Source organism: Homo sapiens, chromosome 17, assembly GCF_000001405.40.
Source record: "Homo sapiens chromosome 17, GRCh38.p14 Primary Assembly".
In the NCBI taxonomy this organism is placed as follows: Eukaryota; Metazoa; Chordata; class Mammalia; order Primates; family Hominidae; genus Homo; species Homo sapiens.
In genome coordinates this window covers 76,133,632-76,154,970 of record NC_000017.11, presented here as the reverse complement: position 1 = coordinate 76,154,970, position 21,339 = coordinate 76,133,632, and the positions used below count along the sequence as shown (strand labels likewise).

At 55.4% G+C, this 21,339-nt stretch overlaps 2 protein-coding genes and 1 long non-coding RNA gene across 9 annotated transcripts in view, besides 12 other annotated features; 2 read left to right on the top strand and 1 right to left on the bottom strand.

Annotated features, from left to right (window-relative positions):
- Positions 1-12,497, top strand: part of RNF157 (ring finger protein 157) — a 98,020-nt gene extending 85,523 nt beyond the window's left edge. For 3 of the 6 annotated variants that reach the window (NM_001330501.2, NM_052916.3, XM_017024120.3), the window contains 3 exons: positions 643-688; positions 2,506-2,616; positions 9,618-12,497. In NM_001330501.2, coding sequence (NP_001317430.1) covers positions 643-688; positions 2,506-2,616; positions 9,618-9,736 — 276 coding nt within the window. In that variant the 3' untranslated portion in view covers positions 9,737-12,497. Of the gene's footprint in view, positions 1-642; positions 692-2,505; positions 2,617-9,617 lie in introns of all 6 variants that reach the window. The other 3 variants (XM_047435287.1, NM_001438721.1, XM_047435288.1) reach the window with 1 other exon arrangement.
- RNF157-AS1 (RNF157 antisense RNA 1) lies at positions 323-14,415 on the bottom strand. The gene is made up of 8 exons (NR_040017.1): positions 14,291-14,415; positions 11,623-11,741; positions 9,885-10,049; positions 9,407-9,549; positions 8,634-8,697; positions 7,372-7,677; positions 1,183-1,838; positions 323-921 (listed from the first exon to the last, which is right to left on the bottom strand). It is a non-coding gene; the product is annotated as an RNF157 antisense RNA 1 (long non-coding RNA).
- Positions 7,394-7,894: an enhancer, noted in NCBI's record as "H3K4me1 hESC enhancer chr17:74143158-74143658 (GRCh37/hg19 assembly coordinates)". NCBI's record gives its function as "activates a minimal SCP1, AML or CMV promoter by ChIP-STARR-seq in naive H9 embryonic stem cells {active_cell/tissue: H9 hESC(naive)}" and the evidence as "EXISTENCE:reporter gene assay evidence [ECO:0000049][PMID:30033119]".
- Positions 9,042-9,589: an enhancer, noted in NCBI's record as "H3K4me1 hESC enhancer chr17:74141463-74142010 (GRCh37/hg19 assembly coordinates)". NCBI's record gives its function as "activates a minimal SCP1, AML or CMV promoter by ChIP-STARR-seq in naive and primed H9 embryonic stem cells {active_cell/tissue: H9 hESC(naive and primed)}" and the evidence as "EXISTENCE:reporter gene assay evidence [ECO:0000049][PMID:30033119]".
- Positions 9,294-9,473: an enhancer, noted in NCBI's record as "active region_12793". NCBI's record gives its function as "activates an Ori minimal core promoter by ATAC-STARR-seq in GM12878 lymphoblastoid cells {active_cell/tissue: GM12878}" and the evidence as "EXISTENCE:reporter gene assay evidence [ECO:0000049][PMID:35858748]".
- Positions 9,564-9,623: an enhancer, noted in NCBI's record as "active region_12792". NCBI's record gives its function as "activates an Ori minimal core promoter by ATAC-STARR-seq in GM12878 lymphoblastoid cells {active_cell/tissue: GM12878}" and the evidence as "EXISTENCE:reporter gene assay evidence [ECO:0000049][PMID:35858748]".
- Positions 9,564-10,138: a biological region, named in NCBI's record as "H3K4me1 hESC enhancer GRCh37_chr17:74140914-74141462".
- Positions 9,590-10,138: an enhancer, noted in NCBI's record as "H3K4me1 hESC enhancer chr17:74140914-74141462 (GRCh37/hg19 assembly coordinates)". NCBI's record gives its function as "activates a minimal SCP1, AML or CMV promoter by ChIP-STARR-seq in naive H9 embryonic stem cells {active_cell/tissue: H9 hESC(naive)}" and the evidence as "EXISTENCE:reporter gene assay evidence [ECO:0000049][PMID:30033119]".
- FOXJ1 (forkhead box J1) lies at positions 13,726-18,638 on the top strand. 2 transcript variants are annotated; one of them, NM_001454.4, is made up of 3 exons: positions 13,726-13,857; positions 14,407-15,073; positions 16,851-18,638. In NM_001454.4, the coding sequence occupies exons 2-3, from the start codon at positions 14,576-14,578 to the stop codon at positions 17,616-17,618; spliced, it is 1,266 nt and encodes a 421-aa protein (NP_001445.2). In that variant the 5' UTR covers positions 13,726-13,857; positions 14,407-14,575; the 3' UTR covers positions 17,619-18,638. The 2 variants fall into 2 exon arrangements, with proteins under 2 accessions (NP_001445.2, XP_047291622.1); XM_047435666.1 differs by having other exon boundaries at positions 13,726-15,073.
- Positions 13,731-13,890: a silencer, noted in NCBI's record as "silent region_9005". NCBI's record gives its function as "represses an Ori minimal core promoter by ATAC-STARR-seq in GM12878 lymphoblastoid cells {active_cell/tissue: GM12878}" and the evidence as "EXISTENCE:reporter gene assay evidence [ECO:0000049][PMID:35858748]".
- Positions 14,569-14,638: a silencer, noted in NCBI's record as "silent region_9004". NCBI's record gives its function as "represses an Ori minimal core promoter by ATAC-STARR-seq in GM12878 lymphoblastoid cells {active_cell/tissue: GM12878}" and the evidence as "EXISTENCE:reporter gene assay evidence [ECO:0000049][PMID:35858748]".
- Positions 14,699-14,888: a silencer, noted in NCBI's record as "silent region_9003". NCBI's record gives its function as "represses an Ori minimal core promoter by ATAC-STARR-seq in GM12878 lymphoblastoid cells {active_cell/tissue: GM12878}" and the evidence as "EXISTENCE:reporter gene assay evidence [ECO:0000049][PMID:35858748]".
- Positions 15,300-15,959: an enhancer, noted in NCBI's record as "H3K4me1 hESC enhancer chr17:74135093-74135752 (GRCh37/hg19 assembly coordinates)". NCBI's record gives its function as "activates a minimal SCP1, AML or CMV promoter by ChIP-STARR-seq in naive H9 embryonic stem cells {active_cell/tissue: H9 hESC(naive)}" and the evidence as "EXISTENCE:reporter gene assay evidence [ECO:0000049][PMID:30033119]".
- Positions 16,622-17,281: an enhancer, noted in NCBI's record as "H3K27ac-H3K4me1 hESC enhancer chr17:74133771-74134430 (GRCh37/hg19 assembly coordinates)". NCBI's record gives its function as "activates a minimal SCP1, AML or CMV promoter by ChIP-STARR-seq in naive and primed H9 embryonic stem cells {active_cell/tissue: H9 hESC(naive and primed)}" and the evidence as "EXISTENCE:reporter gene assay evidence [ECO:0000049][PMID:30033119]".
- Positions 17,282-17,943: an enhancer, noted in NCBI's record as "H3K27ac-H3K4me1 hESC enhancer chr17:74133109-74133770 (GRCh37/hg19 assembly coordinates)". NCBI's record gives its function as "activates a minimal SCP1, AML or CMV promoter by ChIP-STARR-seq in primed H9 embryonic stem cells {active_cell/tissue: H9 hESC(primed)}" and the evidence as "EXISTENCE:reporter gene assay evidence [ECO:0000049][PMID:30033119]".

Below are 21,339 nucleotides of genomic sequence, written 5' to 3'. Positions count from 1 at the left end.
ATTGTCCTTCATTCCACTAGTATTTACATGGAGGACTGTGTCACAGGTGCTCTACTGGTGCTAGGGCACATATAGACCTATACAGACCTGTGTGGTGAGGTTTCTGCCTACCCCCAGCCCACTGCACCCATCTAGGAGCCCAGTCTAGCAGGCAGACAGGACCACAGTTCAGTGTGAGACGTGCCCTGACCATGGTGTGCTGTGGAACGCCAGCTCACAGTGAGAGCCCTAGAACTCTTCTTGAGCCAACTCCTGTCAATGGAGGATCTGGATGGGGTTTGGGATCTTAAGGGATTTCTGAAAGTCTTATGATCTCACAATTTGCTCTTTCATTTAGTAATTTTTACTTCCACCTTAGAGAAACAGTATCAGCTAAACTATTAACAAGGGTGTTCCTGACAGACCATTCTGAGCATATATGGGTAATGTGGCTCGGATCTAATCCCTGTAGGCAGATGGTGCCTCTCCAAGCAAGATCTGCCTCTACTCAGCCTCTGAGGCATATTAAACACAGATGGAAATATATGCTATTAACGTAGGCCCTGGAGTTAGATACCAGTAGGATGATTAGTTCTGTCTTCAGCCAATCAGTTTACTCATTTTGCCGCTTCATAGACTCACAGGGCCTTCCTTCTGTCCTAGGGAAATGATGTTATAGAGGAAGAGGATGGATCACCCACGCAGGAAGGTGGTAAAAGATCTGGTCCTTTACTTCCTTTAGTTATCTTTCTTTCCTGGGTATTCTTTAAGGGGTAAAGAAAAGGGTACCGGTATGACGTGGTGGCGCTGCTCAGTTGTATGGGGCTGTTAGAGGAAAGATCGTCTTCTTAATGGTACATCAAAGCAAGCAGAGCATTGATGATCTCTATGACCTCCTCAGCTCTTTCTGGGCCTCAGAGCCATGGATGTCAGGTGCGGGTGCTGCAGGAGATACATACAGGTCCATATTTACCTGAAGTAGATTCGGAAGCTCTCTAAGCAGCTCCCATCATCAGCCTCCCTGCTGCAGGTTTTCAGTGGAGCCCCACAGAGCTGTTCTGGCATTCTCAGTGTTGAATAGCAGTAGCCATTTCTTCCACTGGGGGGAGGGGGAGGACTATTTGGCAGCTGGTCAGGTCTTGCTTTAGTTAGGAATATGGTCAACATTACTGTAAAAGAGGACTCTCGGGCCGGCAGACGTACTAAAGGCGTGGTCAAGGAGACAGGTCCAAGTTTCTTCAGGAGCTCAGCTTAGGCAAGTATTTTAAAGGCTGTTGTAATAATCTTCCTTTACCATAATTCAGGCCTCAGTTACATCTTCAGTTGGAAGAATGTTGTTTCCAGTAAGGCTAGAAGAGAAGGAATGGCCCACAGAGCAAGGACGTAGGAGGAAGAAGGAGGGCAGGAAAGTCTCCCCCAAGCAGGGAACACTATGTGTTCCAGGAGCCAGACTCTTCCCCCTGCTGCTCTGAGGCCCCTCCCTCAGGGGCACCTCCAGAGCACACGTATGCCCGGCCTGGATACAGACGCACCAGCAGATGTCATCCTATTGCTTCTGCTTTAGCGCTGGCCATCGCTTGGGAAGTGTTGGAGGTGTGCATGTGGACCTGACGGCTCCCACCTGGCCAAGGAGCTTGAAGGAGAAGGTGGCCGCCAAGGCTGCGTCCGTCAGCTCTTGCACCCCAGCCCAAGGGGGTTTGGAGTGTCACCAACTCAGTTGATGACTTCAGTGCTTGAGGCTCTAGAGTTACCCCTTGTGATTGTTTCTCCCATAGAATATTTGCTTCTAAGAAGTGCGGTGTGGCCAGGTTGTTTCACCGACATTCCCTAGCCCGTGGAATGGATTTGTTTTCTTCTCTCTGTTTCACTGAGAAAAAAAGAGGGGAGCTTGATAAAAAACAACTTTTAAAACTTTTCCCTTCCCTTCTTACATGTCTGTAGATTTCTGGTTAGCCACTTAAAACACACTGAAAATAACAACTCAGGTCTCATAAAGAAGGAAATCATAATTTTGTGAATGTAGTCATTCTGATTTGATATGCAAAATTATGGACCCTAAGACCTTTAGTTGTTGTTTCATGTACTTATTTTGCAGAGCCATGTGGTCCTAAACACACCCAGCTCACACCCAAGGCAGATGCAGGCATGAGCAGGATGACCTCCCCACTGGCGCTCCCTAGCTTCTGCTGGTTGGTCGCAGCCTCACCAGCCTGGCCTCTGCCCAGCTCTGCTCGCTCTAGTATTCTCTGTTGAGCCTGTGTCCCACAGCCCTCCTCAGTGATCTGACTTGTTAGGGAGCAGCAGACAGAAAGGGCTCTAGGGAAACAGCAGGAAAGCGCGAGAACACAGACATGCCCACACAACGTGATTCCTTTCTTGTCCACTCTTTATCCGCTTAATTATTGTCTTTTTTTTAACATATGATTTGATTTTTTTTGTCTCCATCCTTAAGATTTTTATTTTAAGGACAGCAACGCAGAGAAAAACACAGCCAGCCCCTCTCTAACTGCATTAACTCCGTTACAGGCCAGAGGACGTGCGCATTTCTAGGTATGGAGTGTGACAATAACAATGACTTTGACATCGCAAGCGTGAAAGCACTGGACAATAAGCTGTGCTCTGAGGTCTGCTTACCTGGTGAGTGTCAGTCTGCTGAACATGAACTTGGTGGGAGACGATCCCTGTGCTCTTACCCCTGCTCTCACCCTGGTACACCCATCTCCTGCCCTGCAGTTCCTGCCAAGAAGGCCTGGGGTGTGCTAGTGCTGGAGACCAGTTGCTGAAGGAAGTAAGAAGGCCTGGGAGAGTCCTTGAGCTTTTTGCAATGAGCCAGCCTTGCTCTGAGTGAGAGTATTAGGATAGGAAGAAAGAAGCAAAACTTAACGATTTGGCCTAACCACTCTCCACCCCACATCACGGCCTTGCAGGTACCATGTCAGGTGGCCCAGTCTTGTTTTCATCAACAGGAAGTTTGAGCAGACAGACACCACCTCTCTACGAAGGTCTTGGAAGGATTGCCTGCGCCCTTTAAAAGTGAAGCTGTAGCTCCTCAGAAGAAATGTGTTTCAGCTAGGATCAGAGAGGAATGTGAAAGCCAGCGTTTCAGAGGCTAGGGAATGGCTCTGTGATCCAGTGAGCTTTGGGTTACCAGTTGCATTGTACATACTACTGGATTTGGATCCCAACGGAGAGGTCGAGTTAGGGCTCCTCTATGCTCCCTGGAGCTGTAACTTCACAGGTGATCAGGTTGTCAGAGTGCCCCTTATTCCTCCTCATGATGCTAAACCAAATCTAGGTAATGCCTTACACAGGATCATGTTAATCACACTTTAAGCACCGAGTGCCTTTTTAGTTAGTGTGCCCGTTCAAGGGCTCCAAAAACTGCTTTTCTAAAATCCACATCTTGCCCAAGCGGACTGAGTCAAATGTCCCCTCCGGGTTTCACGACAGAAATTGTCCTTCACATCGTGTTGTTTGAATCCTCTTAAACATTCCCTGAACGAAGACTCACTTCAGCTTCAGAACAGCCACATCACGGGTCCAGTGCTTTACTCGCTCAGCGACGTGGCTGGAGGCGTTGGAGCCACACGACCTCTGTGGTTGCCACTCTCCATCAGCCTGTGCAAGACACAGTCCAAGCACACTCTGGCCCCACACAAGCTTGTGGCAGGGGAAGCTGGAATTCTCTAGAGATACTTTCTCCAGCCCTTCAAAGGGCTTTCTTGAGTCATTTTCTATTTAGTTTGTTCTAAAGACACTGCCCAGGCCTCTTCATTTTCAGTGAGACCAAAAGAGGCAGTATCAGTTCCCCTGCTTCTCCTGCGCAGGCCCAGGGAAGACCCCCTTCCTGCCTGAGCGTGGAGGAGGGAGCGTTGACCACGGGGCCAGCCTCCTGCCAGTTAGGCCTGGACTGGAGCTGCTGGGGCCCAGGGGCTGCTTCACTCCCTGCCTTCCCGCTCCTGGCCTGGCTTCCATCTGTCCATTTGTGTTTCACATCATTTTGCCAAATGTAAATCTGTCTGTCTGGTTTGTTTATTTTCTAAACTCATGTATGTTCTCTAGACTTGGTATGAAAGTTCGTGTTCACTCCGTGCCAGCACTGTCCTCCCTGCCAATGCTTCACCCCGTCCAAGCTTGCTGGGCACGCACACACCTGGGAGGCGCTCGCGTGGGGCTGTGAGCAAGGCTCCCATTCCTAATTGGCAAGGGCCTGTATCCAGGGTACTAAGAGCTTATGAGAAAAAATATTTGTGAGACTGTATTAATTTCTGCTTTACAAAAATGGGAATGCTTCTGTGGCAAGGGCTATGGAAAGGATTTGGTTTTAACTGGCATCCTCTGTCAGTAGTTGGGTGAAGATGATGTCTCTTTCTTAGCTGTGCCCTGTGTCTGAGGCAGCTCTACCCTGGTCAACCCCTTACTTGGCTTTAGGAGAGAAATTTAGGTTCCTGCCTCCCTCAAGGGACTCCCTTACCCACCCCTATTTTTTTGGCAGAGGGAGCTGCTGGGAGTTGTTTTAGCCAACAGTGCTAGTGGAAACAGCTTATTCCTCCTCTTCCTGACTCCCTCCAGCTAACCTGCTTGTTGATAGTTACTCCATGGAATCATGGGAGGAGAGTGAGGACTGGGAGGAAGAGAGAAGCCCTGGGGTTCCCTAGGGTGACTTGTGGAGCCAGCTATTTAGAGATTATGGTGGGCTCACAGTTTGTGCCAGACACGAAATCAAATGCCTGTGTTGGCTCTCGGGAGAGGGCCTCAGGTATAGGCATGTTAAGTGTCCCATTATATCCTCACCAGAGGCCTCAAGATGAGGGGCTGTATTCAATATACTAAGATTTTCCAAGAAAAAAAATATGTGTGAGACTATATGGATTTCTGTTCAGTAAAAATGGGAACGCTTCTGTGGCAAGGACAATGGAAAGGATTTGAGTTTTTTTGTTTTTGTTTTTTGTTTTTTTTGAGACAGAGTCTCGCTCTGTCGCCCAGCCTGGAGTGCAGTGGCGCGATCTCGGCTCACTGCAACCTCCACCTCCTGGGGTCAAGTGATTCTCTGCCTCAGCCTCCTGAGTAGCTGGGATTACAGGCGCCCGCCACCACGCCCGGCTAATTTTTGTATTTTTAGCAGAGACGGAGTTTTACCATGTTGGTCAGGGTGGTCTTGAACTCCTGACCTCAGGTGATCTGCCCACCTCGGCCCCCCAAAGTGCTGAGATTACAGGTGTGAGCCACTGCGCCCAGCCATGATTTGTTTTTAATTGGCATCCTTGGTCAGTAGTTGGGTGAAAGTGATGTCTCAAAACCTCTGGTTGCCTTTTTACTTGAGAGGGAAAAGCACGTCTCTCTAGGCAGAATGTGTCTCTGCTTCCACTGTTAGCATCACACTGGCAGAAAATTTGCTGGAGAACTCTCTGGAAGTGTCTGCTAGGTTACAGACAGGAATATCCACTTTGGTAGGTCCCGTGGAATAAATAGGCGTCTTCACACTCAGCTGTAAGTTCAGCTTTCTATCCTGGGGCTGAGATACCACTGGCCGTCTTGGCGCCTCATTGCTCCTGTGGCCAGCTCTCTCCCGTCAGAACAGCTGCACATGCGCCTGGTCTCTGCTTGAGTCTATTTCCCTCTTCAAGTGGGTGCCACTCCCTTCATGGAGGGCCAGTGGGAAATGGAGCCCGGGCTGCATCCCATGTTGTCCCTGTGCCCTGCACCTTGCTCACGGGCTCTGCCAGGAGACCTGGCTGGTGGCAAGGACTGCGAACCTTGTTGGTTCCCGTCCTCACCACTCTGATAACACTGGTGAGGGGCTTAGAGGCACTTTTGTCATTCTAGCCCTCTCCCCCTAAGAAGCTTCTGGGTCTTCCAGGGCCCCAAGACCAAGGGTGGATTTTTGGTTTTTCACTGGGGAGTAGTGTGTTCTGAGATTCCTTCTGAAAGGAATAAAGGAAGGAGATCTCAGTTGATGGGTGTGACAGGTTGTAGTAAGACTAGAATTGCGAGACCACGCTAAGCAGATGTGGCTCTGAGGAGTTTGGCAGACTGTTACATAGGTGGCAGGAAAGTCATCGTGGCAAGTGATAGTTCTATGAAGGCCCTGGGGTAGTCAGTGATGGAAAAAGGCAAAGATAGGCCGGGCACAGTGGCTCACGCCTGTAATCCCAGCATTTTGAGAGGCTGAGGCAAGTGATCACTTGAGCCCAGGAGCTGGAGACCAGCCTGGGCAATGCAGTGAAACCCCATCTCTACAGAAAATACAAAAATTAGCCAGGCTTGGTGGCGTACGCCTGTGGTCCCAGATACTCGAGAGGCTGAGGCAGGAGGATCAATTGAGCCTGGGAACCGGAGGTTGCAGGGAGTCAAGATCACACCACTGCACTCCAGCCTGGGAGGCTGAGATGGAGTGAGACTCCATCTTAAAAAAAAAAAAAAAAGGCGGGGCACGGTGGCTCCCGCCTGTAATCCCAGCACTTTGGGAGGCCGAGATGGGCGGATCACAAGATCAGGAGATCGAGACCATCCTGGCTAACACGGTGAAACCTCATCTCTACCAAAAATACAAAAAAATTAGCCAGGCGTGGTGGCGAGTGCCTGTAGTCCCAGCTACTCAGGAGGCTGCGACAGTAGAATGGCGTGAACCCGGGAGGCGGAGCTTGCAGTGAGCCGAGGTCACGCCACTGCACTCCAGCCTGGGCGACAGAGCAAGAGACCCTGTCTCAAAAAAAAAAAAAAAAAAAAAGGCAAAGATAATTTGGATCTTTTTAGTGGAAATACCAATACAATTTTTAAATGACTGCATTCCACTGGAATGAGCATATCCAGTGAAATCTAAAAAGGTTTGTGGAGACCTGAAATTGAATTCTCTCCTCTTTTTGAGAGGCCTCAAAACTCAAGACTAAGATGCTACTTGCACTTTGTGGGCACTAAGGAAAATTTCAAACTAAGTTTCTCCTTCCCCTGGAGAGCAACTCTACAAAGACAGTTGAACTATTACAGTCCTTATATTTAATAAGTGGCTTTGTAGAGGCAGGAAAGGGGCTTGTGAAATTTTCCTGAATGTACTCCCAAAATCTACCTCTAGAGGTCTCTTCATACTCCCATTTTTGATATCCCAAAAACTGAGACATGAACGGAAAGCACCTTTATCCATTTCCCTCTAAGGATTTTGAATCTCTGTGCTCCATTTTTTGGCTGGAGGGGCCTGGATTCAGCCAGACAAAATGGCGGCACCTGCTCTGGAAGGCCCCTCAGCACCCACACTGACTTTCCGCAGACAGGCTTACTGTGAGAATGAGGCTGAGGAGGGAGCAGCAGCAGGGCTTTGCCGTGGGCCCCTCAGGGTCCTTGCCAGGGGAAGGTGCCCCCCGCTTGCTGCCGGATCTCCCTCACCACAGAGCATACCAAGAGGCCAGGAGAGCAGACTTCAGATCTGATTCTTGAGTCTTCCACAAGTAACCGATGTTCTGCCCTGGCTAAGGCTTCTATAGAATAGAAGGTTGGAGTTTGTAGCAAGGACTTCTGTGAATTCAGAGTCAGGACAGCTCTCTGGGCAGCCTCTCCGGCCCAGCATTCCATGGCTTGCTGGTGGTGGCGGCGGCGGTGGTGGTGGTGGTGCTGCTGTTTTTATTTGTGCATGCATGTGTGTCTTCTCTCTTGTTTACCATTTGCTTTTGGTCTTTCCTACTGAACAGCCGCAGCTCCGGAGTCCTGCCCCATAAACATTGAGGAATAGGTATGAGATCTACCAAATTATATAAATGAACAAACAGCTCATTTTATTTTGGGTTCTTCACTTTAAAGGCAATATTAATATTGCCTTATATTTATCCTGCCACACTTAGACACATAGTGCCACCATTAGAGGTGAAAAAAAACACCTTGACTCATGTCCCAGGCTCCAGTACCCACCCCCAGGGAGTAAAGATCCCAAATTCAGTTTGGATATGAGAGAGAGATCCAAGACTCTCCTGTTCTCACTGTTCCCCTGGGGTCAAGCACCAGAGACTGTTACTAGAGCCTGAGGTGGATTAGCACACCAAGGCATTGATGGAAATAAGCCATTTATACCTGTTGACTCTACATGCCATTAAAGGGTTTCATGTCCTGGGCTGGCCTGAGGCTGACCCTGGACACTTGTGAGTGGCCTCTCTCAACCTCACGGCCACACTCTACAGTTGGTCGGCCTTGTCCGCTGAACAGGTCCTCCTATGGGTCAGGTGTTGTGCTGGGCTCTGGACTGCAACAGTGAAGAAGTCACGGCCCCTGCCCAGGAGGAGCTTTGTCCCATGGAGGAGCTCCAGGACCTAGCGGTTTCTGCCATGTGACGTGTGCGTGGAGCAGTAGTTCAGGCTGCAGGGAGCACTTAGGAGCACACTGGGCCTCCCCCGGCCAGAGATGCCTCGTGAGGGGAGGCCACTGGGAGACACGGCTGGGGAGGCCCACAGGGTCCGGAGGACGACATGCCTTCCCTACCCCAGGGAGCCAGGGGACCCTGAGAGTGGAGGCAGCCGAGGCCCAAGGCAGGAGCGCCCTAGCCTCACTGGAGGGAGGGCACTGGAGGGAGGAGCTCATCTGTGGGCAGGAGATGAAGAGGACTCCCAGGGGAGAGGCGAGATGGCCTGGAGGAGCCTGAGCACAGGCTATTCTAGGAGTCAGATACTCACCAACGCTCGCATTCTCTCATCTAGTCCTCACAGCAAGCCCGTGAGGTCAGTACGCATGTCCCATCTGATGGGTGAGAAAACCAAGGCCCACAGTAAACTGATGTGCCCAAGGTCACACTGCTGTAAACTGGGAGTGGAGCCCAGGTTAGCGTGACTACAGATGGAGTCACAACACGGCCAGGAAGTGAGCCCACAGGAGGCTGTGGAGGATTGGATCCACAGCACAAGGGAAAGAGAAGCACCAAGAATGGGTTTCCAGACAGGCGCTGGCACTCCTCATGTGGGGGCAGCAGCAGATTTGGGGAGCGGATGCGTTTAGTGATGGTATCTGTGGGACCCCGAGGCTCTTGGGCTGGTGTCTGCTGGGCTGATGGCACCAGCTAGTAGCAAACCTCAACAGCTGCGTAGGTGCAGGAGGAGAGGAAAACGGCAGGTGACGGGGACTGGAGCCTCACACTGTCCTCCCTCCAGGCAGCCTTCCATCCCAGGAACCCTGCTGGGTGGCCAGTCCTTTCCTGCCCCGCCTGGGCCCCCACAGAAAACATTAACACTCGGCCAGAACGAACAGTCTTCTCACTTCCCCCCACCTCTTCCTGCCCCAATGAAAATAGCTCAGCAAGGCCCAATTTCCTTTTCCTGTCTATTGTAACATATAGGCAAACTTTAAAACCAAGTAATTAAAATACAAAAGTGGATCCCAGGGTAAGTTCGCAAAACAAGGAACATCTTTCATGTCCCTCCCTGTCCGGGAGCCACAGTGGCAGTGACTGTACCTAGCCCAGGGGGCAGGAGCAGGCTCTGCACCTGTCAGCACCTGCTTCTCTCCGTTCTCACACACGAGTGCTGTGGCTCGCACCGTCATCGGAGTCTCAGGTGACACGCATCCTGCTCCTTCCGTGCCGGCTCCTGGGCTGCCCTGCTGGAGACACCATCTGGATTTGGCCAAAGGTCTGGCTCCTGTAATGTTCATTTTCTCTTCCCCAGGTGCCTGGCAGGCTGATGACAATGCCGTCAGTCGGAATGCCCAGCGCCGGCGCTTGTCATCCAGCAGCCTGGAGGACTCTGAGACGAGGCCCTGTGTGTGGGGCCCTTTGGCTGTCTGAGCCCCAGCCTCTGCACTTGGGCTCCCCTCCTGCCCTGCATTCCATCCATCCTCACTCAGCTGCTGCCTACTGGGCATCCTCAGCAAGATGCTGGAGACTTTTTACCCTCCTGTGACAGCTGTTACAACCTGTAACCACAATCCCTCACCTCTCAGAGGGAACTGGAACCCTCCTTTCTCCGTGTGACCTAAAGCCACTCAATGAACTGCAGCTCACGAGACCTTTTGCAGGGACTCTGGAATGTCCTCACGGTATATTGATGTTCAGGTGGAGCTGGGGTCCATGGGCTAATTTCTTACACATCTTTTTTCTCCTTAGGGGGTAGAACAAGAAGGCTTAGAGTTTGGCAGCTTTGTTACAAACATCCCTCTGGCATTTCCTGGTCTCTGGCACATCATAACCAATTGGAAACCTGCAGTTTGGGGTAGGGCTGGAGGATCGCTCCTGTGGAAAGGGAGAGCCATACTGCACGGACGTAGCGTTTCCCTCTACAAGCACTAGGAGCACCTTTCTCAAGGACAAGAAATGGTAGCAACCAAAAGGTTGGTTGAAGGAAACAATCCTTCCTTCTGGTGGCAGAGCCAGTCTTCTGGGCCTCACATGCCTGTGCGGTTAAGAAGGAGCTCTTGGCCGGGCGCGGTGGCTCACGCCTGTAATCCCAGCACTTTGGGAGGCCGAGGCGGGTGGATCATGAGATCAGGAGATCGAGACCATCCTGGCTAACACGGCGAAACCCCGTCTCTACTAAAAATACAAAAAATTAGCTGGGCATGGTTGCAGGCGCCTGTAGTCCCAGCTACTTGGGAGGCTGAGGCAGGAGAATGGCCTGAACCCGGGAGGCGGAGCTTGCAGTGAGCCGAGATCGCGCCAATGCACTCCAGCCTGGGCGACAGAGAAAAAAAAAAAAAAAGAAGGAGCCCTTGAATCTGAGAATCCCCCAGTTAAGATGATTTCCCTTAAGGAGCATTTCTCCTGATCAGGTGCATTCAGGGAGGCCTGCAACTCCATCCTAAGGTGACATTTCAAGAAACACATGTGTTGACCACCTCTGTGTGCCAAGCACTGGGTGAGGAGTGGTCGTATATTACCATAATTCATCCTCACTCAATTGGGAGGTGGCATTCTTGTCCCTGTTGCCCCCATCTCTACCCCCTTTTGTTAATGGTTGAGAGAAATGTGGACCAGTGATTCTCAGTTTGGTGCCCAGGTCCCCAAAGGAAGTGATGGAGAGCCTTGAGCTAAGTTCAGGCAGCAGCATGTGGCCAGCAGCAGTGTGCTGGGAGCAGAGGTTGGAATCAGGGCTCAGGGCCTTCACTTCAAGGGCCCTCCCCAGCTACTCGGGAGGCTGAGGCAGGAGAATCGCTTGAACTCAGGAGGTGGAGGTTGCGGTGAGCCAAGATCGTGCCACTGCACTCCAGCCTGGGCTACAAGATTGAAAAGATCGAAACTCTGTCTCAAACAAAAAAAAAAAAATTCAAGGCTGTTTCCAAGGCAGCCTCAAAAAGAGCCTGGTGCCCAGGGGGTCCTTCGTTTCTGTGTGGCTGCAGAGGCCAGGAGTGCAGTGACTGTCTCACTGCCTAGTGGTTGTGGCTCACATCCTGCCCTGATGGAGAGGGGGGCCTGTCGTCCAACCCTCTCTGAAAAACTGCAGTAGACTTTACCATTTCAGGCCCCACCTAATGTTCTTTCCTTCCTTCCCCCTACATTCTTCCCGCCCCTTTCATAGTTAAGATGCATAAGCTGAGCAATAACCCCACTTCCTGATTTCCCTGAAATATGAGCCCAGAAGCAGCAGGTGACAGGGAGCTTCCCTTACCCTGGGGTGGTGGCACACAGACCACCTCCTGTCCTGTCCCCTGCAGGTAGTATTCACAGTGTGGTGTTACCTGGGAGGAGGGAGGAAGGAGCTGAGATGAAGGAGATTCAGGTAAACAGTAGCCACAGTGGCCAGGACCCCCTTCCTGAGGATCCCTGTCCTTCCTCGCAGCAGGTGCTTAGTCCTCTCCTAGGGAGAAGCACGGAAAGATTCCTCAAGGCCTCAGTCCCATGTCCAAGGCATACCTAGGTTAGAAATGTCCTTTACTTGTTTCTCAGTTACTATTTCTCCTCTTCCTCCCTCCCCCTGCCTTCTCTTGGCTGTCATTTAGCTCTCTGGCCCACAGAAATACTCCATCCAAGGAGCTGGTCCTCAGTCAGCCTGATGAGGACAGGTCAGTGGCCAACCCTTTTGCCCCAGTCCTTCATCTGGAGACAGTCACATAGTCACGTCAACAGTTCACCCAAAGAGAAGAGGTGGGGCCTGGCTTCTCCCACAGGGCACAGCCTAACTATGGAGACCCAGGGCTCCTTCCTGCTGCACTAGGCCTGTGCTCTCCCTATTGCCTTCAGGTGGTGTGATCCCGGCTTCCTCACAGAGCCCTTTTTTCCTTCTGCCCAGCTCCATCCCACCAGAGTTTCTACCCCCGCTGAGGCATCTCCTGGGCACAGACCACCACACTCTAAGCCGGCTGGCCTGGGAGTTAGGGTCCTGCCCACCTCACCTGGGAGTTGGGGTCCTGCCCACCTGGAGTTTAGCACGCTGGTCGCTCACTTTGCTTTGGTCTGCACACCTGGTGTGTGCATGTGTATACTGCTTGTGCCATCTGTGTACCCCTCTCCCTGGAGTACACTTGTGGTCACACTACAGTGGGGACATCAAGAATGCAATATTTATGGATTGCTGCATGATTCTTAAAAATGAATAAAACTGTTTACAAGGGAAGGAGAGCTAACTGCAAAGTGAGCTTATCTGTGAAAGTTTCTGTCTGACTTTCGCCAGCACTCTTTAATACTTTTACTCAAGAGGATCTGGAGTTGGAGGAGTGGGAGAGGCAAGGGCTAGGGAAAGGCATGTTGGCGGGGGAGTGATGCGCCATAGCCGGGCCTTCTTCATGGTCTGGGCACCAGCCTCCCCGACCCCGGCTCTCCAGCTCCTGGGCAGAGGCGGGGTAATCAACCCAGCCCCCACCACTGCCTCTGCAGCCGCCTTAAACCGGAGAACGTCCAACCCTGCAGCTCCTCAATAATTAAAGAGCAGGAAAGCTGGTGACAGGAGGGAGGCCAGGGGAAGGGAGGAGGAAGGGACACAGTCCCCAGAGTCCCTCTACTCTTAATCCCTGTGACTTAAAGGTTGGTGAAATTAATTGGGCAAATGACCCCGCTAGGAGAATTTGACAAGTCCATGACTTCAGAGTTTTACCCACGGGCTCTGCTTCATCAGCTGTCTCCAGAGGAGTGAGTGCGCTTCTGCAGAAGCCTCTGGAATGTCAGCTTCCTGGAACCTCGAGGATACGGGTGGGGAAGGAGCTGCTTACTGGGACACACTGGATTACCCTACCCCCTTGGTGTGTCTGCCGCCTCTGTGGATGTAAGCGGCAGGTGGCATCGGAAAGTCAGACCTGCCTGGGACACCAGAGAAAGACCCTAAGAGTCGGGGGAGAGGGAAAGGCTGCAGAAACATGAGAAAGTGCCACTCGTAGCGGAGAGGAAAGAAAACCTCAAGGATACGGTTCCCGAGCCTGAGCCCGCTCCCAGCCTTAGCCCCCCAACCCCAGGCTCCGTCCCAGGAGCAGTCGACGCCTCAAAGCGTACGGGACAGGAAGGGGGTGGGGGCGAGAGTCTTGGTTCCCCAGAACGAACGGATCCATAGCGGTTCCCGGTGCCGCAGGCCGCGCGCTTCTCCGACCCCAGCGCGGGGCCCTCGGGCGGGAATGAGCCGAGCCGGGACTTAGCGGCGGGTAGGGGGTTGGGTGGCGCGGGAGAGGGCGGCAGAAGGAGGGAGTTCGAAGAGAGTTGCCGCCAGGGAGAGTGGCAAGTGCCCGCGGTCTCCTTGGAGACGTGCTGGCCAATGGCAGAGGCGGAAGCTGTTTATGGGGGCGGAGCGTCGCCATGGCAGCAGGAGAAGCCTTTGGAGCGGCTACTTAATGCCGGTCCCGGGGCCGCGGTAGCTCAGAGAAGCGCCGTCGGGCGGGGGGGCGGCAAGAGGCGCTGGCAGGGCCCCCGAGCTGGGGGCAGAGAGCCGCAGGGGGTGGGAGCAACTTCTTCCAGAACCTTCCTCTGGCCCGGGCTGCGCTCTGAGCCAGGTAAGGGATGGGGAGGGCTGCAGGCCAGGGGGAAGGGTGGGCAACGGTACCAACCCGCTCTCTCATTCGTCCTTAACGGAAGTGGTGGGCCCAGGGACTGACATCGGAGAAGTCTGGGGGAAACTCGCCTCCTGCCCCCCGTTACTGTTCCGTCCCCTTCCTTCCCAATGATCCCCTATCATAATATTCCTTTTCAAGGATCAGAGGACCTCCACCGCCCCCGCCCCGTCGTACCGCCCTCCCAAACTTCTCGCCCCACTTCCATTTGTTGCGAGGAGGAAGGGGGTCCTGATTTCCTGCTCTTCGGGAGAAAAGGATAGCCTCGGATGCCCCTACCCTCTTCATTTGGCTAATAAAACCTCGAAGAGGAAAGGAAGAGGGAGGCAGATCTGATGGGGGTGGGACCCCAGGGCCTTGCTTCTGTTTCCCATACCTCGGCACTAAAAGATCCTCCCCAGCTGCGGGGATGATGTTAGAGAGGGCGTCCCCGTACACACACTGTCCCCTCGGGGGTGGGGTAGTGCTCAGCTCCCACCGTGGTCCTCGCAGGCACCACATACTTATTCGGAGGAGGCGCCCCCGGGGTCGCGAGATGGAAGCGCGCGTCCGGGAGGCCGTGTAACGGGAGCTGCGGGACTCAGCGGGCCAGAGAGCGCGGCGGGCCACCCCCGGCTCAGCCCGTGGATGCTGACCGCCCCCTCGGAGAGTCCCCGCAGACATGGCGGAGAGCTGGCTGCGCCTCTCGGGAGCCGGGCCGGCGGAGGAGGCCGGGCCGGAGGGCGGCCTGGAGGAGCCCGACGCCCTGGATGACAGCCTGACCAGCCTGCAGTGGCTGCAGGAATTCTCCATTCTCAACGCCAAGGCCCCCGCCCTGCCCCCGGGGGGCACCGACCCCCACGGCTACCACCAGGTGCCAGGTTCAGCGGCGCCCGGGTCCCCCCTGGCGGCCGACCCCGCCTGCCTGGGGCAGCCACACACGCCGGGCAAGCCCACGTCGTCGTGCACGTCGCGGAGCGCGCCCCCGGGGCTGCAGGCCCCACCCCCCGACGACGTGGACTACGCCACCAATCCGCACGTGAAGCCTCCCTACTCGTATGCCACGCTCATCTGCATGGCCATGCAGGCCAGCAAGGCCACCAAGATCACCCTGTCGGCCATCTACAAGTGGATCACGGACAACTTCTGCTACTTCCGCCACGCAGATCCCACCTGGCAGGTAGAGGAGGCACGGGCGGCGGCCGCTCCCTCCCCATTCCCTCCTCGCTCCCCACGCTGCACTGGATTCATATCCCAAATCTGCAGGCCAAGTAGGCTCTGCGGTGCGGCCAGCGCCCCAGAAGGGAGCCCTGCAAAGGAGCCCAGTTCTTGCAACTGCCCCTCCTTTGACTTCCAGAGAGAGAGAGAGAGAGAAGGGAGAATGTCCAGAGGTGGAGGGCTTTAGGGGTGCAGAGGCTGAGATTCAAGGGGAAATAACCTGCCATTCATCCAGCAGGCCCAGGCCAAAGACCAGGGCTAGACTCTGCGTGGACAGAATCTCCTTGGGGAGAGCGATGAACTGAAGGCGCATTCTTGTCCCAAGTCCTAGAATTCCTAGACACTGCCCTGCCCCGGGATGGTTTGTCGGGGCCGGGAGTCAGAAACGGAAACTGGAACGTGGCCTCCCTGCCAGGCTCTACGTCCTGCCCTTTTGCAGTTGGCTTGGGGAGGGTGGAATGGAAGGGGTGCCTTAGCATGTGAGGGCCAGGTGTGTCCCAATGGAGGGTGGAGGGGGTAAGGGGCCTTCCTAAAGCTGCTGTCCCAGCCCCCCACCTCAACCTCTGCTCAGTTTCCTGCCTCCAACCCCCGCTGTCAGCCAACCTCCCTGGGGGGACAATTACCTGAGCCAGGTGCCTTCCACTGGGGCTCTGCCTACCACACTCACTTCGTGTTCCACGTCTCTGGAACCAGGCACTGAGCAGCCAAGGGGCCCAGGCCACCATGTAAACATCCCAGCCTTGCTGCCGGGCATTATCCACCCACCTGCCCTGCCGTCCCAGCCCAGGACCCCTGTCCCCCAGCAGGCTTTGGACAAGATTAAGCACCTAAGAATGGACAAGGCAGGAGGATGGTGGATTTGAGGCTGGGTAGGCAGTGCCCTAAGAGTCTTCAGCCATCACCATCAAGGGCTAGTTGGAGTCAGGGGCCCCCCAAGGACGCCCAGACTCTTCCCTGAAGCACCCAAAGCGGGCAGGCCACAGGACCGCAGTCCCAAGCCATTTCCAATGCCCCTGACCCTAGAGCAGGGTCATTTGCAGCTGCACCGAAAAAGCAGAGACCCTCAGCCCCACCCTACCCTAAGCCTGTGCAGCTGCGCTTCGAGAAACGGGCCCCAGGAATGAGTGCTATGCTCTTAGCTCTTGGCTGGGTAATAATCAACTGAGCCTGGAGTGGGGGGAGGGGGCCGTGGGGGGTGAAGGCCCAGGCCAGCAGCCGGCTCAACAAACAAGGAAAGTCATCAGATCCCCCACCTCTCATCCCTGCGCGCTCTCTCTCTCTCTCCCCCTTCCTCTCCACTCTCGGCTGCCCAGCCCCCTCCCTGGACCCACTCACTCACAGAGAGGGCCAGCCAGGCCCAGGCAAAGGGAGACGGTGGTCCAGGCCCTGGGGGAGCCGAGGGCTTTGGCCAGAGGCTGTCAGCGGCAGGGTGAGGGAGGGAGGGCAGGCGACGGGGGTGGCACCGAGAGCCACCCTGCGGCTCAGAGCTCGGATGACTGAGCAGGCAGATATCCCGGCAACAGGGAACAAAAGCCTCCGACAGCACTCCGGGCTCCCAGTGCCCTGTGGCTGGTGTCCCAGAGCTGCAGCCGCCTGGGCAGACCAGTGTGTCTGTCCCCCCCTCCTCTCCCCTGCCAGAGAAAAGATGGGGGGTGCGCAGCAGCGCCAGGTGCCATTTCATCTCCCCGTCCCCACTGACCTAGCGGTTCCTCTCTCTCTTGCTCTCTCCCTGCACCCAGAATTCAATCCGCCACAACCTGTCTCTGAACAAGTGCTTCATCAAAGTGCCTCGGGAGAAGGACGAACCAGGCAAGGGGGGCTTCTGGCGCATTGACCCCCAGTACGCGGAGCGGCTACTGAGCGGCGCTTTCAAGAAGCGGCGACTGCCCCCTGTCCACATCCACCCAGCCTTTGCCCGCCAGGCCGCGCAGGAGCCCAGCGCTGTCCCCCGGGCCGGGCCGCTGACGGTGAATACCGAGGCCCAGCAGCTGCTGCGGGAGTTCGAGGAGGCCACCGGGGAGGCGGGCTGGGGTGCAGGCGAGGGCAGGCTGGGGCATAAGCGCAAACAGCCGCTGCCCAAGCGGGTGGCCAAGGTCCCGCGGCCCCCCAGCACCCTGCTGCCCACCCCGGAGGAGCAGGGTGAGCTGGAACCCCTCAAAGGCAACTTTGACTGGGAGGCCATCTTCGACGCCGGCACTCTGGGCGGGGAGCTGGGTGCACTGGAGGCCCTGGAGCTGAGCCCGCCTCTGAGCCCCGCCTCACACGTGGACGTGGACCTCACCATCCACGGCCGCCACATCGACTGCCCTGCCACCTGGGGGCCTTCGGTGGAGCAGGCTGCCGACAGCCTGGACTTCGATGAGACCTTCCTGGCCACATCCTTCCTGCAGCACCCCTGGGACGAGAGCGGCAGTGGCTGCCTGCCCCCGGAGCCCCTCTTTGAGGCTGGGGATGCCACCCTGGCCTCCGACCTGCAGGACTGGGCCAGCGTGGGGGCCTTCTTGTAAGAGGCCAGGCCCTGCCCCACCTCTGGACAGTGCCCAAGTCAGGGTCCAGAACTGCCCCCCAACACAGGTCCACAGACACCCCACCACCTAGGCAGGGGCTGGGCCAGGGCTCCAAGGCTTGCCCCAGAGGCCACATGGCCACCAGCCCCAGCTGCCATCAGATTCAAGCCCAGGAGGCTGAAAACGAGGGCCCAGGACCAGAATCGCTGCCTCCTCTCCCCAGCCCCACCTTGTACACACAGTGTTTCATTGCTCCGCGTCTTCCCAGCCCCAGAAACCGGCTAAAGGACCCTGCACCATGAGAGCCGAGGCCTGGAGGAGCCCGGGTCAGGCTGGGGAGGAACAGAACTGGGCCCTCCCAGAGCACCTCCGCTTCCCCCCTGCTTCCCCAGGTCTCTATCCAGAGAGAGTCCCCAGGTACAACAAATGCTAATTAGATGACAGCAAATTAACCCCCTGGAGGCTTCTCCTGGCAGAGCCTCCCTGGGGCCGGGGCAGGCTGTGGATGGGGCGGAGCAGGGCAGAAGATGGACTGGGGGAGGGGGCAGAGAGAGGAGACCAAAATGAGGTGGTGGCACAGGGTGGGGCAAGGAGATCCTCTCTAAGGCCTCTGGGGTCTTTGCCTGGCCCCATCCCTAGGGGGCGGGGAGGGGACGTAAATCCCTAATCTTTAAGCCCGACTTGAGGCTGAGAGCAGCTGGAAGTTTGGGTTTGGTGGTTTGGGGGCCGGGGCAGCCAAGCTGTATGGGGCAGGACAGACAGACTAATGTAGTGAGTGTAGCTGTAGCTGAGGCTTAACTGGGAGGGATGCCGAGCTTGCTGGAACTACTGGGACCAAGAAGCGGGGTACCCCACGCCCCTGCCTGCACTCCTCGGGGGCGTGGGGCGTGCCTTGCTCCACCCGGACTCCCTGGGCTGCGTCCCACATCCACCCTCCTGCCCCGTGGGGCAATTTAACCTTTTTCATGAAAGTTATTTACAATGAAAAGTTTTTAAAAATAAAATTTTTAAAAATCTAAATATGGACCTGCTCAAAACTTTCTTTGGGAACAGGTGAGGGCTCAGTGTTCTGGAGAGGCAGCGCTTCTCTTTGCTGGAGGGAGGGATGGCTGAGAGGAAGATGCGGGGGCACTTACGGCCTGCAAAGAGCACTAACCAACTCCCCATGACCTCAGCATCCCCGGGGAGGAAGGGGCTGAGGGGTGGCTCTCGGTTGTCCCCTGCAGCCTAGGCCTCAGTGCCTCCATCTGTGCAATGGGGAGACTGGGGTCCACAGCCCTGGGGGATCAGGAGACAAAGGGAGGAGGAGTGGCCTCAGTCCCCAGACCCAGGGAATCTCAAAGGCTAAGTGTGCCCTGGGCTCGGCCCCTGCTGTCCCCTACTGCGAGGGCCTGCCCGGGCCCGCCTGCCCCAGTCAGCCATCCCCGGCCTGGGCTGGTCTCCAGCACCTCCCTCGCTTGGTCCTCTCCTGGAGGGACCCAGCTCCAGGGCCCCCACTTGCCACACAACCTGGCCCAATGCAGGTTTGGAGAGGAGGAAGGCCACCAGGGAAGGGAGTGAGCTCAGACCCACCCCTCCCACCTACACTGGCAGGAACCAGACTACCGGAGTTCTGATGGGGAAACTGAGGCATGGGAAATTTGTGTCTGGGTGACACTCAGCCAGCACCTTTCAATCCCCCGCCCCCCTTGCTTTGCCCGGGAGCCACCTTCCAACTCAGTCCCCGCCACATATACACCCTCATGGGTGCACGACGCCTCCAGAAAGCCACTTCCTCGCACACGGGCGCACACACACAGGGGCACAAACAGGCAACGTCCCAAGCATTCCTGCCCAGCCTCCACGGACCCCTTTCTCCCAAAGCCCCTTTCTTTCTTCGTCCTCGGGGTTGGCTCTAGGCCAACCTGGCATTCCCCTGCTAACCGGCTGCTTTCACTTGCTAATTATTCTAAATACTGCAGGAGGGCACGCAGCCTGCAGGGTCCAGGAAGGCAGGCTGAGGGCTGCCCCAATTCCCTTCACCCCGCAAGCAACTCCCCTCTCCTTTTCCCCACTGTCCGCCCCCTTCCTCTCCATGGACCCCAGCAATGGGGGAACAAGCTGGGCTCCAGCCTTCTCCCCACAGGATCAGCCTCCAGCTTTGGACTGACAGGCTGGGCGTGTAGCTGTGTGCCCCAGGCCTGTGCTGGGGGGAAGGGGGGCAATGTCTGGGGCAGGCAGGACACCCCACTGGGGGAGCACCAGGCCTGAGAAGCAGATCGAGGTTTGCCCCAGCTTGACAGTCACCTGGAGGCTCCTGAAAAATCCCACTGCTGGGCTGCACCCTGGACCAATTAGACCAGAATTTCCGGGGTGGGACCCAGGCATCAGCATTTGTAAGGTCCCCAGATGTTTCCAATGTGCGGCAAAACCGAGAGGGGGCCCTGGAGAGGGCATGACTTTCAGCAGGCCAAGCTGGGGAGTGGCGAGAGTGTGGGCTAGGAGCTCCTCACTCCTATTCACCCCTGCCTTGCCCCTCAGTGGGGTGGCTTTTTCGTAAAAAGATGTTCATTTACCTCTTTTTTTTTCTTCTTTTTTTGAGTCGTCTGGCTCTGTCGCCCATACTGGAGTGCAGCGGCGCGATCTCAGCTCACTGCAACCTGTGCGCCCCGCCCCACCGGGTTCAAGCAATTCTCTTGCCTCAGCCTCCCGAGTAGCTGGGACTACAGGCGCCCGCCGCCACGCCCGGCTAATTTTTGTAGTTTTAGTAGAGATGGGGTTTTACCACGTTGGCCAGGCTGGTCTCAAACTTCTGACCTCAAGTGATCCACCCACCTCAGCCTCCCAAAGTGCTGGGATTACAGGCGTGAGCCACCTCACCCAGCCCATTTACCTCTTATTTATTTCCAGGTTCAATGTAATCCCAACCAAAATATGTTTTGCACCATTTGACAGTACGTTGAAGACCTGACTCCCCATACCACTAAATACTTCAGTAAGTATTTCCTTAAAACAAGGGCACTTCTGGATTTTGTTTGTTTGTTTTGTTGTTGTTGTTGTTTTGATTTGAGACGGAGTCTCGTTCTGTGCCCAGGCTGGAGTGCAGTGGCGCGATCTCGGCTCACTGCAAGCTCCGCCTCCCAGGTTCACGCCATTCTCCTGCCTCAGCCTCCCGAGTAGCTGGGACTACAGGTGCCCACCACCACGCCTGGCTAAGCTTTTGTATTTTTAGTAAAGACGGGGTTTCACCGTGTTATCCAGGATGGCCTCGATCTCCTGACCTCATGATTCGCCTGCCTCGGCCTCCCAAAGTGCTGGGATTACAGGCGTGAGCCACCGCACCCGACCTCTACAGATAATTTTTAAAATTAGCCAGGCATGGTGGTGTGCATCTGTGGTCCCAGCTACTCTCTACACAGGAGGCTGAAGCAGGAGAATCGCCTGAGCTGAACCCAGGAGGTCAAGGCTTCAGTGAGCTCTGATTGCACCACTACATTCCTGCAGGGGTGGCAGAGTGACATCCTGTCTCAAGACAAAACAACACAAAACAGGAAATTAACATTGGCCTGGTAATCCCATCTAATCCACGGACCCCATTCAAACTTTGCAGATTGCCCCGTCACGCTCCTCCCTGTGCCAGCATCCCAATCCGAGATCACCGTTCATTCACTGTCCTATCTCTTTGGAGCTGTGTGGCTTTGAGCTCATAACTCAAGTTCCCTGGCCGGTTCCTCATCTCCTT

What these genes read in the sequence shown, in the direction of transcription:
- FOXJ1 (NM_001454.4), top strand. Translation starts at nt 14,576, where the DNA reads ATGGCGGAGAGCTGGCTGCGCCTCTCGGGAGCCGGGCCGGCGGAGGAG. An exon ending in ACGCAGATCCCACCTGGCAG is followed by an intron (nt 15,074 to 16,850) that starts GTAGAGGAGGCA and finishes CCCTGCACCCAG; the next exon opens with AATTCAATCCGCCACAACCT.